The 22,602-nt window shown below is 36.4% G+C and overlaps 1 protein-coding gene and 1 pseudogene across 31 annotated transcripts in view; both read left to right on the forward strand.

Moving 5' to 3' along the window:
* FZD3 (frizzled class receptor 3) overlaps nt 1-22,602 on the forward strand; it is an 80,047-nt gene that overhangs the window by 24,002 nt on the left and 33,443 nt on the right. For 14 of the 31 annotated variants that reach the window (NR_182069.1, NR_182070.1, NR_182071.1 and 11 more), the window contains 2 exons: nt 2,425-2,621; nt 8,934-9,951. The exons of 1 other annotated variant lie outside the window; for it this stretch is intronic. Coding sequence is in view for 22 of the 30 variants with exons in the window: in NM_001412925.1 (NP_001399854.1) it covers nt 2,425-2,621; nt 8,934-9,951 (1,215 nt within the window). In the remaining 8 variants the exon portion in view is untranslated. Of the gene's footprint in view, nt 1-900; nt 981-2,424; nt 2,622-8,933; nt 9,952-18,679; nt 18,732-21,983; nt 22,049-22,602 lie in introns of those variants that run through there. 16 more of the 31 variants (NR_182067.1, NR_182066.1, XM_047422238.1 and 13 more) reach the window with 8 other exon arrangements.
* On the forward strand, nt 12,198-12,306 carry RNA5SP259 (RNA, 5S ribosomal pseudogene 259; annotated as a pseudogene).

Below are 22,602 nucleotides of genomic sequence, written 5' to 3' on the forward strand. Positions count from 1 at the left end.
ATGCCTGGCTTTTTTTTTTTTTTTTAAGTAGAGATAGTCTTGCTGTTTTGCCCAGGCTGGTCTCAAATTCCTGAGCTCAGGTGATCCTCCTGCCTCGGCCTCTCAGAGTGCTGAGATTACAGCCGTGAGCCATTGCGTCCAGCCAGCAGATCACTTTAATTCAGTCAGTAACTGAGCTGAGTAGAGGCTGCGTTGCAATGTTGGTAGGTCTCTGCCTCTGATTTGTCTCTGCTACTAGGGTGTAGTCATTCAGGACTTCTCAGCAGAAAGTCTGGTATGTTGAGATGCTGTGCAGAGGTTGAACAGTAATTCATGTCTCTTTAGACTGATAAGACTGCCAAAATCTCTACTCTGTTCTCTTTCTGCTTAGCTTCTTAGCTTCCTTCCCTGTGTAGCTTTAGAATTTTGAGATACACATAGGGAAAACTGGCTTTGTGTTAGACTCAGTCCTTCCCACTTCTTCTCATTTAGATCTTGTTTCTTTCATTTCCCATTTTGTCTCTATAGCCTCACAAGACCACCTACAGCTCTGCTGGTTTCTCAGGTTCTCCAGCACAGCCTAGGCAAAGCTTGATTCCTAGCCTCTTGTCTTACGCCCAGTTCAACAAATACCACCTTTAAAAAGTGGCTGTACGTATCAGGCTACCTGTTTGTGCTTTCCTTCTCTTTGAATTCTTATTCCCTCTAAAGTTCTTTAGCAGTTCTCCAGTGGTTTTAAATAGATAACTTAAAATTTTTTCTGTTTTTAAGTTGTTCTTGATGGAAACATTGGTCTAATACAGAGTACTCTTTCTTAGAAGTGAAAGTCATAGATAGTTTATTGTTATATATCAGTTATTATATTCATTTTATAGTTCTTTGACATCAGTTTCTATAAGTGACTCTTGATTTTCTAATTGTATTATGTATAGGAGGCTCTGGAAAATAATATACATCAGTGCAGAAACAAATTGATTCATCCACATTTGAAAGGCCTGGTGGTAAGAATATCTCTAACCACTTCAAAATCAGCAATGACTCAAACTATTATATAAATAAATGCAAAAAATATTCCATAGTCAAAAGCCCAGATGCACATCCTTGGGATATTTTATCTATTCCTGTGGTTGAAATGATTATTTTATTGTGGTTTTATGTTTGGGGTTACTATTTTTTTTCCCTTAATATTAGCTTACAGCATTAGTTTGTTTACATCATGTGATTTCACAGTATAAAGAACTCTGTTTAAAATTTGAAAAAGGCATGGTGGCTCATGCCTGTAATCCCAGCACTTTGGAAGGCTGAGATGGACAGATCGCTTGAGCCCAAGAGTTTGAGACCAGCCTAGGCAACATGGCGAGACCCTGTCTTTACAAAAAATACAAAAATTAACCCTGTGTGGTGGTGCGTGCCTGTAGTCCCAGCTACTCAGGAGGCTGAGGTGGGAGGATTGTTTGAGCCTAGGAGGCAGAGGTGGTGGTGAGCCGAGATCCTGTCACTGCACTCTGGCCTGGGTGACAGAGCGAGACCCTGTCTTTAAAAAAAAAAAAAAAAAACCAAGAAAATTTCAGCCCAAAGTGAGAGACCTTTCCCCGCCCTCAATGCCTAAATTACTACTATATTACTACTTACCTTCCTCTCCTTCTCCCAGTTTTTCTCCCATTACTGGTTGTCCTCTCTCTCCTGTTGACAATTGTTAATTGAAGAAGATTTAGAAATTGAAATACTTAAAGGAGGCCAGGTGTGGTGGCTCACACCTGTAATCCCGGCACTTTGGGAGTCTGAGGCAGACGGATCACTTGAGGTCGGGAGTTTGAGAGCAGCCTGGCCAACATGGGGAAACCCCATCTCTACTGAAAATACAAATATTATCTGGGCATGGTGGTGCATGCCTATAATCGCAGCTACTCAGGAGGCTGAGGCAGGAGAATTGCTTGAACTTGGGAGGCAGAGGTTGCAGTGAGCTGAGATCATGCCACTGCACTCCAGCCTGGGCGACAGAGTGAGACTCCATCTCAAAAAAAACAACAAAAAAAAAAAAAAGGAAGAAAGAAAGAAATACTTAAAGGAAGAAAACGAAAATTTCTTGTAATCCCATCACCAATCTAGTCACACTTTTGAACATTTGGTGCATGTCTTTTGTGGATTTATTCTTTGTAAAATGGATATTGTCAGTGGTTCTCAGCCCTGCTTCTTCATCAATATCACCTGTAATACCTAAACTATACATATAGATTCTGGGATACACCTCACATTTAACTAAATTAGAATCTTCAAGGGTAGGGCTAGGACAGTTTTGTTTAAAAAAACAAAAACTCCCCTTCAGAAAATTTTAATAACCCTCAGAATTTTCTTGTAATGAGAAAGAGAATGTTGCAGTATTATAGAAAGCTTTAACTTGTATACAGCTCTTTAACTAATTATTCAATTTTAACTTTTCCCTAGCCATTCCACCCTATGGTGAATCTGGATTGTTCTCGGGATTTCCGGCCTTTTCTTTGTGCACTCTACGCTCCTATTTGTATGGAATATGGACGTGTCACACTTCCCTGTCGTAGGCTGTGTCAGCGGGCTTACAGTGAGTGTTCGAAGCTCATGGAGATGTTTGGTGTTCCTTGGCCTGAAGATATGGAATGCAGTAGGTGCGAAAATCATAGATTTTCATGGATCATTTCTTATGTTGCAATATGTTTAAAAGTACTTGTCTTCTTTTCCATCTGTTTTAAAAAACTTTTTTTGAAGTGTACATATTAGTCATTAATTTTGAACAGTTTTATGGCCTCACAATTGTTTATTTGCTTAGAAATTTGGAAGCACTAAATGAAAAAGAAAACATTTCTGTGAAGAAGTTTTTAAAAGACTTAAGAATTACATAATCAAGACAGTTGATTTTTCCCCCTTTAAAACATTTTTTTCTGATTATGAAAATAGTGCTATTTGTGAAAAATTATACGGAGAAGAAAACCATTTATTACCTCATCATTGCGGGGGCTTAAATACCTTTATGATTTAAATATAGATTTATAGGATAGTTCTGTCATTTCTTTTTTTCTGTCAAGTATTAACATACCAAATCCAGAAAATGTCAAATACTTTTCAAATTACATGCAGTATATCGACTATAAGCATGTCTTAAAGTTTTGAGGATTTATTAGACATTCTTAAAGTTTCATTTAAGTGAGCATTATTATTAATAATATACTATATTTATTATGTGATAATGTTTTACCTATTTGTATTCTGAAATATTTCAAGGATAAAGAATAAGGTGAATACTTATGTATCTATTATTATCTAGCTTTGCCCAATCTTAACAGTTTGTAATATTGGCTTCAGATTTTTTTTAAGAAATGAAACAATACAGGTAGAATTGAAGGTTTTCCCTTGTTATCCCTCTTGAGCTTATTATCTTCTTTCCCCCCAAGGAGTGAGATAATCTTTATGTTGAATTTGTTTTAAAATCATTCCCATGTTTGCTTATATACTCTTACTACATGTATGCATATCCATAAACAATACAGCTTTTTTGTATGTATCTATCTATGTTTGTACCTGTAACCTGTAGGTCTAGTACATTCCTTTTAATTGCCGTGTAGTGGTCAATTGTGTTAATATCCTACAGTTATTTAGCCTTCTACTGATGGTCATTTAGGTTGTTTCCAGATTTTTGTTATTATAAGTAACATTCTTTTCTCCTTCATATTTAAAAATAATTTTGTTTGTTATCTGGTAATAGCTCTTGGAGGCGAGTAAAGCAGATGTTGTTACTCTTACTTGACAGATGGAGAAACTTAAGAAATAATAAATCCTGTACAGTAAGTCCTCACTTAACGTTGTTGATAGGTTCTCAGAATATGTGACTTTAAGCACAGTGACATTTAATGAAACCAATTTGTTTTCTTTTCTCTTCTCTTTTTTTTTTTTTTTTTTGAGATGGAATCTCACTGTGTCCCCTAGGGTGGAGTGCAGTGGCATGATCTTGGCTCACTGCAACCTTCACCTCCCGGGTTCAAGCGATTCTCCTGCCTTAGCCTCATGGATACCAATTTGTTTTCTTACAAACATTATAACAAAATGACATTGAAAAAAAAAACAGTGTTATTTAAGGACCTGCTGTATGGTTTCTTGCTTGAAGTCACAGTTTACAAGAACCTATCTACGATTTTAAATGAGGACTACTGTATTTGCTTCTTGTAGTCAATTTATTGATGTTCTACTTTCTCATATTTGTCTGTTTCGCACCTATTTTACCTTCCCTTTTGTTTAGCCCCATCTAACCATTCATGTCTTCTGTCTCCAGACACCTGGAAGTGTTTCCAGTCTCTCTTTTAGAAGTCTGTAAATTGGTATAAAACAATTATAAATTGCCTGGGCAGGAACTCTGTTTTATGCTTCTTGTATTTAACGCCTATTGTTTAGGTGTCTTTTTATTTTAATAGCTTATATATAAGCATAGAAATCTCATAATCTTTATTTTTTTAATTTGTTTTGATAGGATTAAACCTATTTTATGTCCTCATTATACCCTAGGATTGCCTAAATTTGAAATCTTAAATTCTGAAAAAGGGAACTTTCTTTTTTTTTTTTTTTTTTTTTGAGATGGAGTCTCGCTCTGTCACCCAGGCTGGAGTGCAGTGGCGTGACTTGGCTCACTGCAACCTCCACCTCCTGAGTTCAAGCAATTCTCCTACCTCAGTCTCCCAAGTAGCTGGGCTTACAGGTGCCCACCACCACATCCAGCTAATTTTTGCATTTTTGGTAGAGACGGGGTTTCACCACGTTGGCCAGGCTGGTCTCGAACTCCTGACTTTAAGTGGTCCGCCCGCCTCAGCCTCCCAAAGTGCTGGGATTACAGGCGTGAGCCACCGTGCCCAGCCTCAAAGGGAACTTTCATAGCAACCTTTTTATTCTTTCATAGCTCTCATACTTTTGTGCCTACTATACTGGTTGCCTTGGTTCATTTGTGCTGCTATAACAAAATACCACAGACTGGGTAAATTATAAATAATAGAAATTTATTTGTTATGGTTTGGGCGCTGGAGAGTCTAAGATCAAGGCACAGGCAGGTTGTGTTTCTAGTGAGGGCTGCTTTCTGCTTCCAACATGGCACCTTGTTGCTGCATCCTCCACTGGGTAGGAACACAGTTTCCCCATGTGGCAGGATAGCAAGAGGGGCAAGCTCACTCTGCAGCCTCTTTTATAGGGACATTAATCCTTTAATTGTCCCAAAGACCTCACTTCATTTTTCCTTTTTGGAGATAGGATCTCGCTGTGTTGCCCAGGCTGGAGTGCAGGGGCACAGTCACAGCTCACTATAGCCTCAAACTCCTGGGCTCAGTCAGTCCTTCTGCCTCAGCCTCCCAAGTAGCTGGGATTACATGGGCGTACCACCATGTCCAGCTAATTAAAAAAAAAAAAAAAATTTGTAGAGATGGGGTCTTGCTTTGTTGCCCAGGGAGGTCACAAACTCCTGGCCTTAAGCAGGCCTCCTAAAGTGCTGGGATTACAAGCTAAGCCACTGCGCTTGGCCAGGCTCTGCCTCTGAATACCACTGCAGTGGGGATTGTTTCATGAATATTCAGGTCCCCCAAAGTTCATGTATTGGAAACTTAATTCTCAGTGCAGCAGTGTTGAGAGGTGAGACCTTTAAGAGATCGTGAGGACTCTGCCCTCATGAATAGATTAATGCCATTATCTCAGGGAGGCATTAGTTATTGCGGGATTGGGTTCCTGATAAAAGGATGAGTTTGGCCCCTTTTCCTCCCTGGCCCCACATCCTCTCTCTCCCTTTTGCCATGGGTTGATGCACCAAGGAGGCGCCTCCTTCCCAGATGCAGGCCCTCTTGACTTGGACTTCCCAGCCTCTAGAGCTGTAAGAAATAAATCCCTGGTTTTTATAAATTACCTAGTCTCAAGTATTCTGTCATAGCAGCACAAAATGGACTAAGACAGCACCTATTCTAAAAATTCATGGACACCCCCAGAATTTTTATCTTTTTATCCTAAATAGACCCTTCCTGATCTCATTTGTTTCTTTATTTAGCTTAAATGTTGTGGTCTATCACTTGAAATAACATCATCTGATAGCAGTTTCATCTCATCCCTCTTACTGTACTTATTTAGACCTCCAAATAGACTGATTAATTTCTTATAAATTGATTATGCTATGTATTTAATGATTCTGAAATTACAGCAGTTGTATTTTCTATTTGTAACCACTTGTCTTGGTCAGAAAAATTTCTGTTCATTTTCCTCAGCACTTGTGCCAAATCTGTATCACTTAACTTTAAACTTGTATCTCACCTTTATTTCCTTCAACCTCAGCCTGTCCTTTCCTGAAAATGATTCAGTCCATCATGTAAGAGAACTATTGTGATCTGTTATTTCTCAGACTGTTCCTTCTCAATTTCCTTCTCGGATCCTCCTCTTTTTTCTGCCCCTTGAATAATGGTGCTTCCCAGAGTTCGGTTCCTGTTCTCCACAGCCCTCCCTGGATAATCTCATCTCACCTATTTTAACTCTTATTTATATACCGATGACTCCTAAACCTAAGTCTGTAGCCTCTCTCTGCAAAGCTCAAAACCTGCATATATCCAGCAGCTGTTGAAAATCCTAACCTATATCCAGTAGCCATTGGAAATCTGGCCTCGGTTTGTCTCCACGACCTCAATTTTGGCATATGTAAAATTGATTTTACTTCTTGGCTCACTGTTTTATTCCCTGGAAGTATCTTCTGTTCCTACTTCATTGATCTTAACTCCCACATTCAAGTTAGGCATTCTGTTGCCTTCAGCTAACTAATTTCATATCTGTCTCATTCTCACTGCCTTATTTGACTTTAATTTTGGCACATCTGGTATCCCTGCCCCCATTTTTGCCCCGCTCAAGTCTGTCTTTTACACTGCTCCTGGTTACCTTTCTGATTACTTGGGTTAGGGTTATATGAATATATTCACTCAACATTCATTAGTTCAACACATGTCAATTGAATGTCTTTGGTGTGCTAGGCACTATTCTAGATGTCGAAGATGAGCAGTGAGCAAAACAGAGATCCTGTTCTTATGGAGTGAAAATTCTAATGGTGGTGGTAAATAAATAGACAATGTCAGATGAAAATGAATGCTAATAAGAACAAATATGGTAGGTGATAGGGATACAATATAGGAGAGCAGAGGGATTCTATTTTCTATAGAGTCTTTGGAGAAGGCCTTATTGATAAGGAGGCTTTGGACCAGGGACTTGAATGAAGTGAGAAAACAAATGATGATATCTGGGGGCAGAGCGGGCCAGGCAAAGGAAACAGAGCAGCAAGTACAGAGACTCTGAAGTGGAACCACGCTTCCTAAAGTCACAGAACAACAGGAGACCAAAGTGGTTGGAGCCAAGTGAGTGAGGGAGAATGGAAGGAAATAAGATCAGAAAAGTACTGGGGCTGAGGGTCTGAGTAGCTCTGGTAAGGAATTTGGATTTGACTCTGAGATGAGAAGCCATTAGAGGGTTTTAAGCAGAAGAGGCATGATCGTGAACACAGGAGCAGCATATCTTTAAAGGATTACCTTGGCTGCTGTGTGGAAATGGAGATCAATTGGAGGCCCCTCTAGAAGTCCAGGGAAGAAATATTTATGGCTCAGACTGGGCACCAGCAGGGGAGGAAATGAGAAGAGTTCGGTTTCTTGATATATTACAAAGTAGAATCACAGGAAATGCTGGTAGATTTCATAGGTATATGAAAGATAAGGGACATCAAGGATAACCCCAAGGTTTTTGGCCTGAGCAGCTAGAAGTATAGAATAACCATTTATGGAGATGGAGAAACCTGAGGAGTGGAAGTCAAGAATTTGCTTTCAGAAGGGTTGAAGATTGAGGTGCCTATTAGATACCTAAGTGTATATGTTGAGTTGGCAGTTAGATATACAAATATATCCATAGATATATTAGTATTGGGTAACATGGGAAAATTGTAGTGTTTGCATGGTTTTAAATTTTATGTTAATGTTTATACACACACACACACTCACACACACATTTCTGCAACGTGCTTACCTCTCCAGTCTCATCTCCTGCCACAAGTCATGCATACTTTATATTCCAGCAATAACACACCCTGTTCAAACATCTATGCCTATGCTTATATTTGCTTACTAGAATGCTGATTGGCTTACTGCTAATACTGATTTAAAATCCTGTATTGGGGGACTGTGAAGTCTTTCATAGTTCCTTCCCCTTATGTAACTAATCTCTGTCTTTATCATTATCATTTTTGTACCTTATATAGATTTTAATTGCTAGCAGAGTGTCACACTGCTATATTTTGTGTATGTTGTGTTTATAAGTATGTGTCTCCTTCTGGATTCAAGGATAGAGATCTGTATTTTTATCTTTTTAACTCCTGGCATATTCAGGGTTCCAGTAAATACTTGATTGCAATACATTCTGTCATTTGGCTTTATAATTCTCTGTGAAGAAAATGGTTTGTATTAGAAAATTTGAAAGATTTGAAGATACAAATCAGCTACAGCATAAAGTTATGTATGTGTTTGGCAAACTTAATGATAGTTTCTTAGAAACTATTTGATGCATATAAAACAGTAAACAGCTAGTTACTGGGAGTCTGAAGTCTTAGAAACAGATATTGGCAAAAAAATTAAAGATGAAGGGAATTCATGACAACGGTCTCCTTAGTTGCATAAATGTCTGCAACACAACCTTGTTTTCTTTGTCTCGAGGCTATCATACTTTTTCAAGACATACAACTAGTATTTTTTGCTCAACTGTCGAAAATCTAGTTGTATGGACCACAAACAAGATATCACCATTTACTTTATTTCTACATATTACATTTGCTCTCCAGGAATAAATAAGGTTGTGAGTGCCAGATTTGGAAATCCAAACTGTTAGATCGTGATAGATTTCCCCATAAGTAAAAATAGTTCTCATCTTGTTTTGTTTTTTAGGTTCCCAGATTGTGATGAGCCATATCCTCGACTTGTGGATCTGAATTTAGCTGGAGAACCAACTGAAGGAGCCCCAGTGGCAGTGCAGAGAGACTATGGTTTTTGGTGTCCCCGAGAGTTAAAAATTGATCCTGATCTGGGTTATTCTTTTCTGCATGTGCGTGATTGTTCACCTCCTTGTCCAAATATGTACTTCAGAAGAGAAGAACTGTCATTTGCTCGCTATTTCATAGGATTGATTTCAATCATTTGCCTCTCGGCCACATTGTTTACTTTTTTAACTTTTTTGATTGATGTCACAAGATTCCGTTATCCTGAAAGGCCTATTATATTTTATGCAGTCTGCTACATGATGGTATCCTTAATTTTCTTCATTGGATTTTTGCTTGAAGATCGAGTAGCCTGCAATGCATCCATCCCTGCACAATATAAGGCTTCCACAGTGACACAAGGATCTCATAATAAAGCCTGTACCATGCTTTTTATGATACTCTATTTTTTTACTATGGCTGGCAGTGTATGGTGGGTAATTCTTACCATCACATGGTTTTTAGCAGCTGTGCCAAAGTGGGGTAGTGAAGCTATTGAGAAGAAAGCATTGCTGTTTCACGCCAGTGCATGGGGCATCCCCGGAACTCTAACCATCATCCTTTTAGCGATGAATAAAATTGAAGGTGACAATATTAGTGGCGTGTGTTTTGTTGGCCTCTACGATGTTGATGCATTGAGATATTTTGTTCTTGCTCCCCTCTGCCTGTATGTGGTAGTTGGGGTTTCTCTCCTCTTAGCTGGCATTATATCCCTAAACAGAGTTCGAATTGAGATTCCATTAGAAAAGGAGAACCAAGATAAATTAGTGAAGTTTATGATCCGGATCGGTGTTTTCAGCATTCTTTATCTCGTACCACTCTTGGTTGTAATTGGATGCTACTTTTATGAGCAAGCTTACCGGGGCATCTGGGAAACAACGTGGATACAAGAACGCTGCAGAGAATATCACATTCCATGTCCATATCAGGTAAGGGAAACCTTGTTACAAATTTCAGAATATATGATAATGAAACAAAAGCATATTACTATAATGAGTTAATATCAGCTGTTTTTTGAAATGTCATGAACCTTCAACTTGTACATTAACATTTTAAGGATGAGATGACAAATATGTTGTAGTAAATATGTAATACACATATTTGATAGACATCTTCATTTTAAAAGATGACTTAACAAGTCTACACTATGGGCTTTTAAGCAGTGTACGTCTGTTGGTGATTTTTTTTTTTTCCAGAAGTGTGCAGTTTCGTGGGGGAGAAGCACTTTACCAACGTTTATAAAAATTTGCTTTTTATGGGAATTTTACTGATGCTCAGGTTAGAAATTGTTTTATTAATAACAGTTTTGCAAAAGTAACAAGATGCAAGTATAAAAACTCAATGATCTTGATTTTTCTTCTTTGCATACTGAATATTTTGTGATTTCTTTTTCAGTTTAAAGAGTTCAGAGCCTCTGGTAGTCTTAGAATTATGGAATTTTAAATCTAGAAAGAACTTTAGAGATCATTTATTCAGATTCCCTCTGTAATTTAGAGTTCTTAAACATCTAGTACCTTATTTGAAGCTTTGAAATGTTAAGTGACTTGTTCTTGAGTAGTAAATGAACAGCTGGGATTTAGTCTTAGATAAATGTAGTCAAGGAAAATAGATCAGAGGAGTTAATGCTAAGTATTTCTTATCTTTAGTACTTCTAGAATCTGTGTTCCTACTATTACCCTACCTTCTTTTATGTATTTATGATTATTATTTAGAAACAGAGTCTTACTAGAATGCAGTGGCATGATCATAGCTCACTGCAGCTTCAAACTCCAAGAGCTCAAGCAATCCTCCTGCCTCAGCCTCCCAATTAGCTAGGACTACAGGTGTACACCACCATGCCCAGCTAATTTTTTATTTCATTTTTTTAAGAGATGGGGTTTCACTTGTTGCCCAGGCTAGTCTCGAACTCCTGCCCTCAAGTGATCTTCCCTCCTGGACCTCCCCAGATGCTGGTATTAACAGGCGTTAGTCACCATGCCAGCCTCTCTTCTTTCTTTTAAAACAAGTTTTCTTAAAAGAGTACTCTAATGTGGTGTCTCCTGTTCATCATTTTCCAGATTTCCTCTTATAAAAGTGCACCAGCCACCTTTCCATCTCCTCCAACCTTTGTTACTCTAATACTTTTAAATACCTTTATTGACGTACTTAAGGATTACAGATAACTTTTGTTTACTAGTCTGTTTCCCCTATTACTATACTCTGAACTCTTCGCAAGAAGAACTTTTTTGTTTTTTAAAGACATTCTGTAGATGATAGTAATGATATTGTGGGTATATTGCTTGAGAAGAGGGGACATTTTTAAGACATGGTAACAGAAATGTACATTTAAGAAATGGTTACTGCTACAGAGAGTATGGGGTTAGCACATAATAAATGCTGATACATTTTTGATCACTGAGAATGCCAATTTCCCTTTTATTTTGGTATAAATAGTCCTATACAAATGATATTTTATCATTATATTAGCTACTGACTTTTTAAAAAATAAACCAACTCATAACTTAGAGACTAGGAAAAAATGAATAATTGAAATTCCATTCAATTTCTTGCCAGAACTGCTTACTAAAAACTCTTATTATGAGTTTTCAGACCTAAAGGTAAATAATCCAGTTTTCCCTCTGAGAGAGAGATGTTGAGTTATATTTTATGCTTCCCCATGTCAGTTTCTAGGATTCTAAATTATTATTTTAGGGCTATTGAAGAAATAATGTTTGACCATGAAATAATGGTCTTAAAAAATACCAGACCTCAAACATGTAAATCAGTAGAGTAGTTGAGATGCTGCTTTTTTCATGACATACCTAGAATTCTTTTAGCATCTTTAGAACCAGTTTGAGCTACACTGAAATATATCTGTGTGTGTGTGTGTGTGTGTGTGTGTGTGTGTGTGTGTGTGTGTGTGTGTGTTGGGGGGGATTAATAGTGTTTTCTGAGAAATATTTTCAACATACGGAAATGAATAACAAATGATGGTAATAACATAGGTATTAAACTGTAAGCTGGAGTAGGAGTCCTAGCTTCTTTTCTTACTTTCATTAATTACTTAACTTTGTAACCTTGGATGAACTTCACCTCCCTCTGCTTCAGTTCCTCATAGTATGAGGATAGTAATGAATCTACCTCCTAGGGTTGTTTTTAGGATTATGCATGTAAATACTTAGAAGTGTGGCTGCTAGTCTATGGTCACACCACCCTGAATGCTCCCGATGTCTTCTGATCTCGGAAGCTAAGCAGGGTCGGGCCTGGTTAGTACTTGGATGGGAGCAGTGTGGCTACTACATAATAAGTGCTCAAAATGTTGGCTCTGTATTGTCTATTATTGTTGTTGCTACCATTATTTACATATAGATACGTTTTTTAAAAGCCCCTAGTACTAAGCTTTAGCAAATGCAATATTTGCTTCAGACTTTTTAAAGAAGTCATAGATTTAGCTGAAACTTCCTGTGTACCCTTCCCTAATCCTGTTCCTCTTATTCACTCCCCAGAGACAACCATCATCGTGAATTTGGACTTGTTCATTCCCATAAAAGCCTGTACAATTACCAATACATACGTAGTTATAAAAAAATGTTTGTTTTACCCAGTACATAAACTATATCACACATACATGTATTTCTTTGACTAAATTCTTTAACTCAACATTTTGTTTTTGAGTTGCATTTATTTTAATACTGCAACTCTATTTTTTAAAATGTTTCCTTTTACTAATATAAAGGAAATGTATAACATATTTCAAATATATAGAGATATAGAAAATAAATATCCATGTACTCACAACCCAACTACCTTGAAATCTTGAAATTATGGCATATGTATCTGTATCTGTTTGTGTACCTATGTATCTAATATTAAAGATACAGTTGATACCTCCTCTGTTCCTTTCCATATTTCCATTCCTCTTCTTCCTCCCTCCCTAGAGAAACCCTTCTCATAAATACGGTATTTTTCATTCTCCTGAATATTTTTATACTGTCGCTGAGTGTTTATCCATAAAATTTGCTGTTATGCAAGTTTTAAAAATGTATATATGTGAGATCATTCTGTAGCTCATTTTTTAACTCAGTTTTATGTTTTTGAGAATATATATGTTGATATGTGTACTGATAATTTGTTTTAACTGCAGTGGAGTATGCTATTGTATAACTATACTGCAATTTATTCACTCATTTATTGATGAATTATATAGTTGTTTCTAATTTTTTGTTGTAAGCCATTTTTCAGTGAATATTCTTGTAACACTTTCATTTCTTAAATATGAACAAGAGTTTCTATTGGAATTTTTGCATTGTAGGCTATAAGCATGTTCAACTTAAGTCGTTATTTTAATTTATACGCACACCAGAATATGAGTTTCCCCTTTGTCCCCATTTTGGCACTCTCAGGCTTCTAAATTTTTGCCAGACTTTGAAATAATATCTCAATTCTGTAGTAATTTACCTTTTCCTTATTATACGTAAGGTTGAATGTGTTTTCGTATGTTTATTGGCCATTTGGGGTTTCTCTGTGATTTACCTATTTGTTATCTTTGTCCATTGCTCTGTTAGGTTATTTGCTTTTTACTGTTTAAATATTATTGGTTTTCTTTGTCAGTCATTTGCGTTACAGATATTTTCTGCTTTGTGGCTTGTCTTTTCACTTTATTTGTGCTTTCTTAGTCTTTTGTGTTTTAAGGTAATCCTTCCCTGCCATTAAAGTCATTAAAATGGCCTGCTGTATTTTTTCTAGCAGTTTCTACAATTTGCTTTTTTGATTCATATCTCTAATCCCATAAAATTTATTTTTGTGAATGTTGTAAGGAACACAATTTTATTTTTCCATATGGATAAGACATGTGCTTTCTGCATCATTTATCAAATAGTTCATCTATTTCAATTGTAATGCAACCTCTGTCATGCACAAGTTTCATTTTTAGGCTCTCTCATTTGTATAACCATGTGTCAACTCCACATCTTCTTTACCTTGTTCTTCTTCTTCAAAACTATTTTAGCTATTCTTGGTACTTTGCTCTTCTGTATGAATTTTAAAATCAATTTTCCATGAAAAACACTGTCAGGATTTTCATTGAAATTGTTTTTGATTTGTAAATGAATCTGGGGAACATTGCCATTTTTGCAATACTGAGTTTTAATAGCTTATTTACATTTTTATTCATTAAATTGGTTATTGATGGTGTACAGGCATGCCATTTAAAAAATTTTTAATTTATTTATTGTGACAAAGTCTCGCTCTGTTGCCTAGGTTGGAATGCAGTGGCAGTCATAGTTCTCTGTAACCATGAACTCCCAGGCTCGAGTGATCCTCCTGCCTCATCCCCCCAAGTAGGTGGGGCTTACAGGCATGTGCTACCATGCTTGGCTAACTTTTTTTTTTTTTGTAGAGATGGGGTCTCCCTGTGTTGCCCAGCCTGGTCTTAAGTGATCCTTCCACCTTGGCTTTCTAAAGACTGGGATTATAGGTGTGAGCTACTGTGCCTGGCCTGATTTATTTTGTGTATTGGTTTTATATCAAACATCCTTGTTGAACTCCTATTAGTTCTGATTGTGTATGGATTCTCTTAGATATTCTTTCTAGAAATCATGTTGTTTGCAAATAGGGACAAATTTGTCTCACTTGCTTTCCAATTTCTATATTTCATGTAAGAGCTGCCTACTCTTGGAAAGGATTTGCACATCCTCCTGTAAAACTCTGTCCTCATATCTTTGAAGTAAAAGGAAAGAAGTTGGTTAAGAAAGTAGATTTTTGTAAGTTACCATTTAATCTCTTCAATACTAATGGTTTTATTCAGGTCTTTTATTTCTTCTTGAGGCATTTTTTGTCATTTATATTTTTCTGGAACATTTCATCTAACTTTTTAAATACATTAGCATAAATTTGTTCATTTTTAAAATGTTTTTACCATTTGAGTTTTTGCTCCTAATAAATATGTTCTTTTTTTCCCCCCATGATCAATCTTGTTAAAGGATTTTTCTTTTTTTTTTCTTTTAGTAGAGATGGGGTCTTGTTAGCTGTCCAGGCAGGTCTCAAACTCCTGGCCTCAGGGATCCTCCCTCTTCAGCCTCCCAAAGCACTGGGATAACAGGCCTGAGCCACTGCTCCCACCAAAGATTATCTTTTTAATTCAATTATTTCTTGTCTTATTTCATCCCTACTGCTTTCTTTAGAATTACTTTGTTTTTCTAGATTCTTGAATTGAAAGCTTAACTCATTTATTGTCAATGTTTTAAAATGTATCTTAAAAATACATTTAATAGTTACTTTAAATTTAACCAAAAGACCATTATTAACCAGGTTGGTCATTCACACTCATTCTGTCTTCTGAACTTAACTTTAAGTAACTTTATGTTTGTTTTGTTTTGTTTTGTTTTGTTTTGTTTTGTTTTGTTTGAGAACCTTTATTTATTGAAGTTTGGGTATCCCTGGGTTTTTGTTCTTCACAGAAAGGTCCCCTCACAAAGCTGATGGAAAGGGATGTTTTTTACCCTAACATCTCATGGGTTAGTAACACTTGGATACGTTTTAAAAATTCCCTCCAACGTGTATTTTTTTTTCTAGGATTTCCTTTCTCTTTAGCATAATAATTCAGAGACTGTTCTGGAAGATAGTGCTGGTGTGGCTAAAGTTTTATTCTATATGTGAGTCCCATGAATTCCTTTGTGATTCTTGTGCTTTCCAATCTTGCTTCCATAAATAGATGTTGAGTTAAACCTGGCCTGTTCAAAAAAGATAAAGTACTATAAACATGAACTCTTATTTGTATAGACTTCATTGTGGGTAAAATCTGTGATTGCTGATATCCACAACAACCTTTTCAAATAGATAGTATGGCTTCATTCCTGCCATTCAAAAGCATTTAAAGCAGAAAGAAGTAATGTGTCTTACATAGTTACATTAGCTTAAGGATCAGCAAACTATAGCCCATCTGAACTGTAGCCTACAGATAAACTAGAAGACCAGCGACCTGTTTTTTTAATTGTAGTTTTATAGACGCACACACACATTATGTATACGTTCTCATTTTAACCATTTTTAAGTGTACAGTTCTGTGACATTAAGTAAATTCACATTGTGCAACCATCACCTCCATCCATTTCCAGTAACTTTTTCATCTTTTCAAACTGAGATGACTTAGCAATATGGTAAGACCCCATTTCTACAAAAAATGTAAAAATTAGCCAGGCATGTTGGCATGTGCCTGTAGTCCTAGCTACTCGGGAGGCTGAGGCAGGAGAATGGTTTGAGCCCAAGAGGTCAAGGCTTCAGAGAGCTGTGATTGCACCACTGCACTCCAGCCTAGGTGACAGAGCGAGACCCTATCTCAATAAAAATCAATCAATCAATCAATCAGTGAGACTCTGTACCCATTAAACAATAACTCCCCATTCTTCTTCCCCACATCCCCTGTCAACTACCATTCTACTTTGTCTCTATTAATTTAATTCTAGATATCTCATATAAATGGAATTATACAATAATTTGCCCTACTTTGATTTTAATATTCAGATATTAGGATATTAATATTTGTTTTTGTTCAGAATTTATTTTTAGAGGAATCTTATACAGACTTCTGAATTAAGCACCAGTGATGTGAAATTTTTATATTGAAGTAATAACCACACATACTTGAATAAAGATCTGCTGTTATTGAGTGTGCCTTATAGAACACTTAGTAGGCGCTGATGATAATTCCTAATAAGAAGTTTTTTAAATGTTTTAAGCAATGATGGAGCAGTCTCCTCAGGTGACTTAGAGAAAATATTTGAATATATTTGCTTAAAAACCAATAAGGTTGCTTAACAGTTATCTCTCACATTACAGAAACTTTCAAATATCTGAAAAAATTAGTTCCTGAATTTTTTATCATGTTTTTTCAAAATACCAATTGGGTTTAGTGCAAATTGCATGAATGTAAATTCATAATTTGAAGAAAAATTGGCTGGGTGTAAAGTATTTTAAAATGAGTGTTCTCGCTGAAAACAGTTTCACTGGCTTTTTTTTTCTGTTTTCTAAATAAAATTGTAGGTTTTAGCACAGTTTTAGATTGACAGAAAAATTGTGATGATAACACAGTGAGTTCCCATATGCCTTGTACCAGTTTTCCCTGTTATTAATATCTTATATCACTATGGTACATCTGTTATAATTGGCTAACCAATAGTGATACATTATTATTAACTAAAGTTCATACTTTATTCAGATTTCCTTAGTTTTTATCTAATGTCCTATTTCTGTTCTAAGATCCCATCCAGGAGATGACATGTAGTAGTCATGTCTCCTTGGCCTCCTCTTGGCTATGACAGTCTTTCAGCCTCTCTTTGTTTTTGATGTCACTACCTAGATTTTAAAATACTATACCAACCATTTTTAGCAAGAACACTCATTTTTAATGTTTATTAAATAATACTTGAAAAGTAGTATTGAATGCCTAAATTCTGAATTAATTATGAAATATAGTCTGAGTAGTCAGAGTAATATTTCACAATTTAAAAACTGGTTTATTTCTAGAATACTTTTTTATATTGTGTATTTTAAAATAACAGATCAGTAATTTTACAGATATTTGGGTTTTTTTGGTCTAATAATAATTTCCTCTATTTTTAGTGCCTTCTAAGAGTTTCAGAGTATCCTGTGAAAGTTACAGTTTTCAAAGATTCTTGATATTTCTAGAAAAGATTTTGAATTTAGCATAATATTCGTTAAAAATGTGGGCTTTAAAATCAGACAGGCTGGGTTTATGACTTGTTGCTACCATTCCTTCATGTAAAATGCAGAAAATAATATGTTAAATACAGTAATATCTACCTCATGGGTGGCAATGAAGATTAAATGAGAAATATAAACCTCTTACCGGAGTGCTTTGCACAAAGTAAAATTTCGATATTAACTCCTGTTATTACAAGTACATAATTCTTGAGGCTTTACAAAGGATTATCCTATACTCTGTACTAGAGTCATTTTTTTCTTTTAAACATCGATTTTGAAAAGCACATGTTTCCTTCCTTTCCTAAAATGCCCCTTCATTTTTTTCATCTCTTTCATCCATCTAATTTAATGCAGTATGTCCCAAGGAATTTTGACAATAGAACATTTATTTCGGTAACAGAAATGTGTTACCATAGTACAGGCAGCTTAGCCAAGACTGTCAAATTCACATTACAGCCATTTGTAGAATTCTTTAAAAATTATTTTTATAGTCCGGGCGCAGTGGCTCATGCCTGTAATCCCAGCACTTTGGGAGGCCAAGGAGGGTGGATCACCTGAGGTTGGGAGTTCCAGACCAGCCTGACCAATGTGGTGAAAGCCTATCTGTACTAAAAATACAAAAATTAGCCGGGCTGTGGTGGCACACGCCTATAATCCCAGCTACTCAGGAGGCTGAGGCAGGAGAATTGCTTGAACCCAAGAGGTGGAGGTTGCAGTGAGCCAAGTTTGTATCACTGCATTCCAGCCTGGGCGACAGGGAGACCCTGTCTCAAAAAAAAATTATTTTTATAGAAAACAAACAAAAAATATTATTTCTGTTCTTCTGAGCACACAAGGCATCCCATCTGTTGTTTTATCTAGTCTTGATTCAGAAAAATACAAAAATAGCAGAATAACATTAAATCTAATTTGTTATGATTTTAGCTTCATTTTCTGATGAGTCTTTCCCTTTACCAGGCAGTTCCAAAAGGAATCAGAATTGTTTATGAAAGGACCATGAGGGAAATGGGTATGTTTTACGCTGCCAACATTAGACAATGAGTAATTCTTTTGTATAAATATGTAGTACTACTAACCTTTTTTTTGTTTTTCTACTAATCTTTAAATTGGTAAATATCCTGCCTACCTATGACTTCCTAGGGCCAAACCTCAAAATTATTTAGTTTCTGTAATAGAGGAAAAGAATGAGAATTCCCTGAAAAAATATTCTATATCTCTTGTTTTGCCAGAAAATATTACAGAATACGACATGAAGGAAACATAGACTATTATAGAAATTTATAGAAACTGTAATACTGTTATGTCCTGGTTGTAAAATACTGTCAAATGACACTTTTGGATAAATATGATAAAATATACAAGTTATTATTCTGGCCTCTGTTAAACAGAATAACCTAAGTTGTGTGTTCAGTTTAAGTCTCCACTGCAGAAATACCTGATATGCAAATAGTTTATACATTTTTAGGAGAAAATTCAATGTACTTGCCATTATCTACAGTAGGGCATGGCAAACTGTAAAAGATCAGATAATAAATATTTTAGACATTGCTGGCCATTAGTTTTTGCTGCAGCTACTCAGCTTTGCTGCTATGGTACAACTACTCAGCTTTGCTGCTATGGTACAAAAGCAGCCATAGACAGTAAGTCAGCAAATGGAAGGAAGTATTCCAATAAAGCTTTATTTGTAGAAACAGGCATTGCGACAGATTTGGCCTTCAGGCTGTAGTTTGTTGACAAGTATTATTCTATGTCATCTTTGATCATTCTTTTATAACAGTGGTTGGTGACCTATGACATTTTTCTGTCCCATATAAATTGTCACTGTTGCATTCTCATTTCTACTTTTGAGGATTCAGCCTTTTACTCTACTGCATAATAGTATTAAACATATTTAATATAGGCCAGGCGTGGTGGCTCACGCCTGCGATCCCAGCACTTTGGGAGGCCGAGGTCGGCAGATCACCTGAGGTCAGGAGTTCAAGACTAGCCTGACCAATATGGTGAAACCCCGACTCTACTAAAAATACAAAAATTAGCTGGGCGTGGTGGCGGGCGCCTGTAATCCCAGCTACCTAGGAGGCTGAGGCAGGAGAATCACTTGAACCCGGGAGGCAGAGGTTTCAGTGAGCCAAGATTGCGCCACTGCACTCCAGCCTGGGCGACAAGAGTGAAACTCTTGTCTCCAAAATAATAATAATAATAATAATAATAATTCAATATAATCTAGTACTGTTATCACTATAATAAATAAATAAAAATGAATTCTAACCTATCACTATAATAAACACATGTAAATAAGACGTATTTCCAGTAATCTTTGAAGGCATTACCATACCAATTTAAGGAAATAATTTTAGTATTTTATGAGAATAGTAGAGTAGAAGCAACATAGTTTAATAATCATAGTTGCTTCTAGTTTTTTAAGTTATATGCTGTGTGTCATGTCCTATGCTCAACAATTTACACACATCATCTCATTTAATCCTCACATTAGCCCAGTAAGTTATATTGTACTCAGTTTTACAAATGAGAAAACTTGAGTCTCATATATTTATACAGTTTATCCCAAGTCATACAGTAAGTTACAGAGCTGGGATGTGAACTGATTCCAAAGCCTACAGACTTAACATCATTTTACACCTCTTCATATGCAAAAAACACAGGTCTGAGTATTTGGAGAGACATCATATAGTTCTGGCTATATCTCTAACTAGTTTTGTGTCTTTAGGCTAGTCACTAAGTTTATACTTTCTTCATCTCTAAAATTTTAGGGGATTGGATTGAATAATCTGTAGGGGTTTTTTCTCAGGTCTAATATTAAATGAATCTAGAAACTATTCTCCCATAAACCACAACTTGTTTTTCCCCTTTTATAAAATTCATTCATTAATGCAAAACCATTTGTTATATATGTTATATATTTTATATATATATAATATATTTTGGCATATTGATAGTTGCTGGAGAAGCAACTGTGAATAAAATACAGCCTCTGCCCTACAGTTCATAGCCTAGTAAGAGAAAATAAACATGGAAATCAGATGGTTCTGTGACTAAAGAACAGTTTTTAGTTCTTACTCTCTCGTCTCTTAAAAAAATACGGAGAAACCTAGTAAAAATAAAGATACCTTCAGGAATATGATAGTTATACCCTATATCAGGGATCCCCTACCCCCGAGCGATGGACCAGTATAGGTCCACACAGCAGGAAGTGAGTGGTGGGTGAGCCAGCAAAGCTTCATCTGTATTTACTTCCCATCGCTTGCATTACTGCCTGAGCCTCCTGACAGGTAAGCAGCAGCATTAGATTCTCATAGGAGCGCGAACCCTGTTGTGAGCTGTGCATGTGAGGAATCTAGGTTGCATGCACCATTTATTGACTAGTTCATCTTTTCTCCACTGATCTATAATACTGCCTTAGTCATATATCAAGTTCCCATATGTGAAATTTGTTTTGCTGTCCTAGTTGAGGGTCTATTTTTCTGTCCCAGTGCTACATTGTCTTAATTACTATAACATAATAAGCCGTTATATTTGATAGGACAAGTGGGTGACTTTTCAAAGCATAATAACAGTAAAGGTTGCTAAGCAGTGTAGTGTAGTTAAAAAGTACGCAAAAGTGGGAATCAGAAGACCTCCATTCAGGAACTGTTGTCACTTACCAGTTGTATGACAGACTCTGTATGAACCTGATGAATAGTTCATTTTTATGTGGGCTTTAGGTGACCATAGGCTTGATATAAGTCAATATTTTGCAATGAATTTATTTAAAAAAATAAAAGCAAACCCAATGCAATATGTACTTCTATTAGTAAAGTATAGATTCCTCTTGATAGGGAAAGAAGCCAAGGACTCTGCCAACCTGATTCAAAGCTAAGGTCTCAAAAACAAGTATTGAATTTAGGCCATCACAATAATTAAAAAAAAATACCTCAAGTGTTCTTTTTTTGCAGGGTATTTCACCCTTAGCATGAGTAGTTTTTTTTCTATTTAATTAAAAATAATTTAAGCCCTGGGGTCTTTGGTGGATTGTGTATCTAAATAGAAAAATCAAAACGCAGGTAAATGGTTTTTATATGGTGGTTGAAAGGAGTTATTGCAACTCTGTAGATTAAATCCAAGCAGTGTTAGTGGAGATCAGTGATTCAGAAGATAGTGAATGTAGGCTATTTATAGCTAGCCAGGCTGTTGTAGAACAGGGACAGTCCTCAAGACCCAGGGCTTACAGCAAGTAGATGCTGATGTCTCCCTTTTTTGCCAGGTATTCTCCAGGTAGATCAAAGAAATACATCAGGTAAGTTTTGTTTTTTCTGAGACAGAGTCTCGCTCTGTTACCCAGGCTGGAGTGCAATGGCACGATCTCGGCTCACTGCAACCTCCGCCTCCTGGGTTCAAGCTATTCTCATGTCTCAGCCTTCCGAGTAGCTGGGATTACAGGCGCCCACCACCACACCAGGCTAATTTTTGTATTTTTAGAGACAGGGTTTCACCATATTGGTCAGGTTGGCCTTGAACTCCTGACCTCAGGTGATCCACTGGCCTCGGCCTCCCAAAGTGCTGGGATACATCAGGTAAGTTTTTTCCAATTGCAAATGTGATATAACATCAATAGGAATATAACGTTTTCAGGAACACTTAAAAAGAATACTTGACAGTTTTCTTATTTGTCCATTTTAATTATGCAAGGAACTGAAATATTTTGTGAGTTTTTTCTTTAAAAATTCTATAGCCAAGTGTGGTGGCTTACACCTGTAATCCTAGCACTTTGGGAGGCCAAGACAGGTTGATTACTTGAGGTCAGGAGTTTGAGACCAGTCTGGCCAACATGGTGAAACCTTGTGTCTACTAAAAATACAAAAATTAGCTGGGCGTGGTGGCGG

This window comes from Homo sapiens, chromosome 8 (genome assembly GCF_000001405.40).
Source record: "Homo sapiens chromosome 8, GRCh38.p14 Primary Assembly".
NCBI classification, from domain to species: Eukaryota; Metazoa; Chordata; class Mammalia; order Primates; family Hominidae; genus Homo; species Homo sapiens.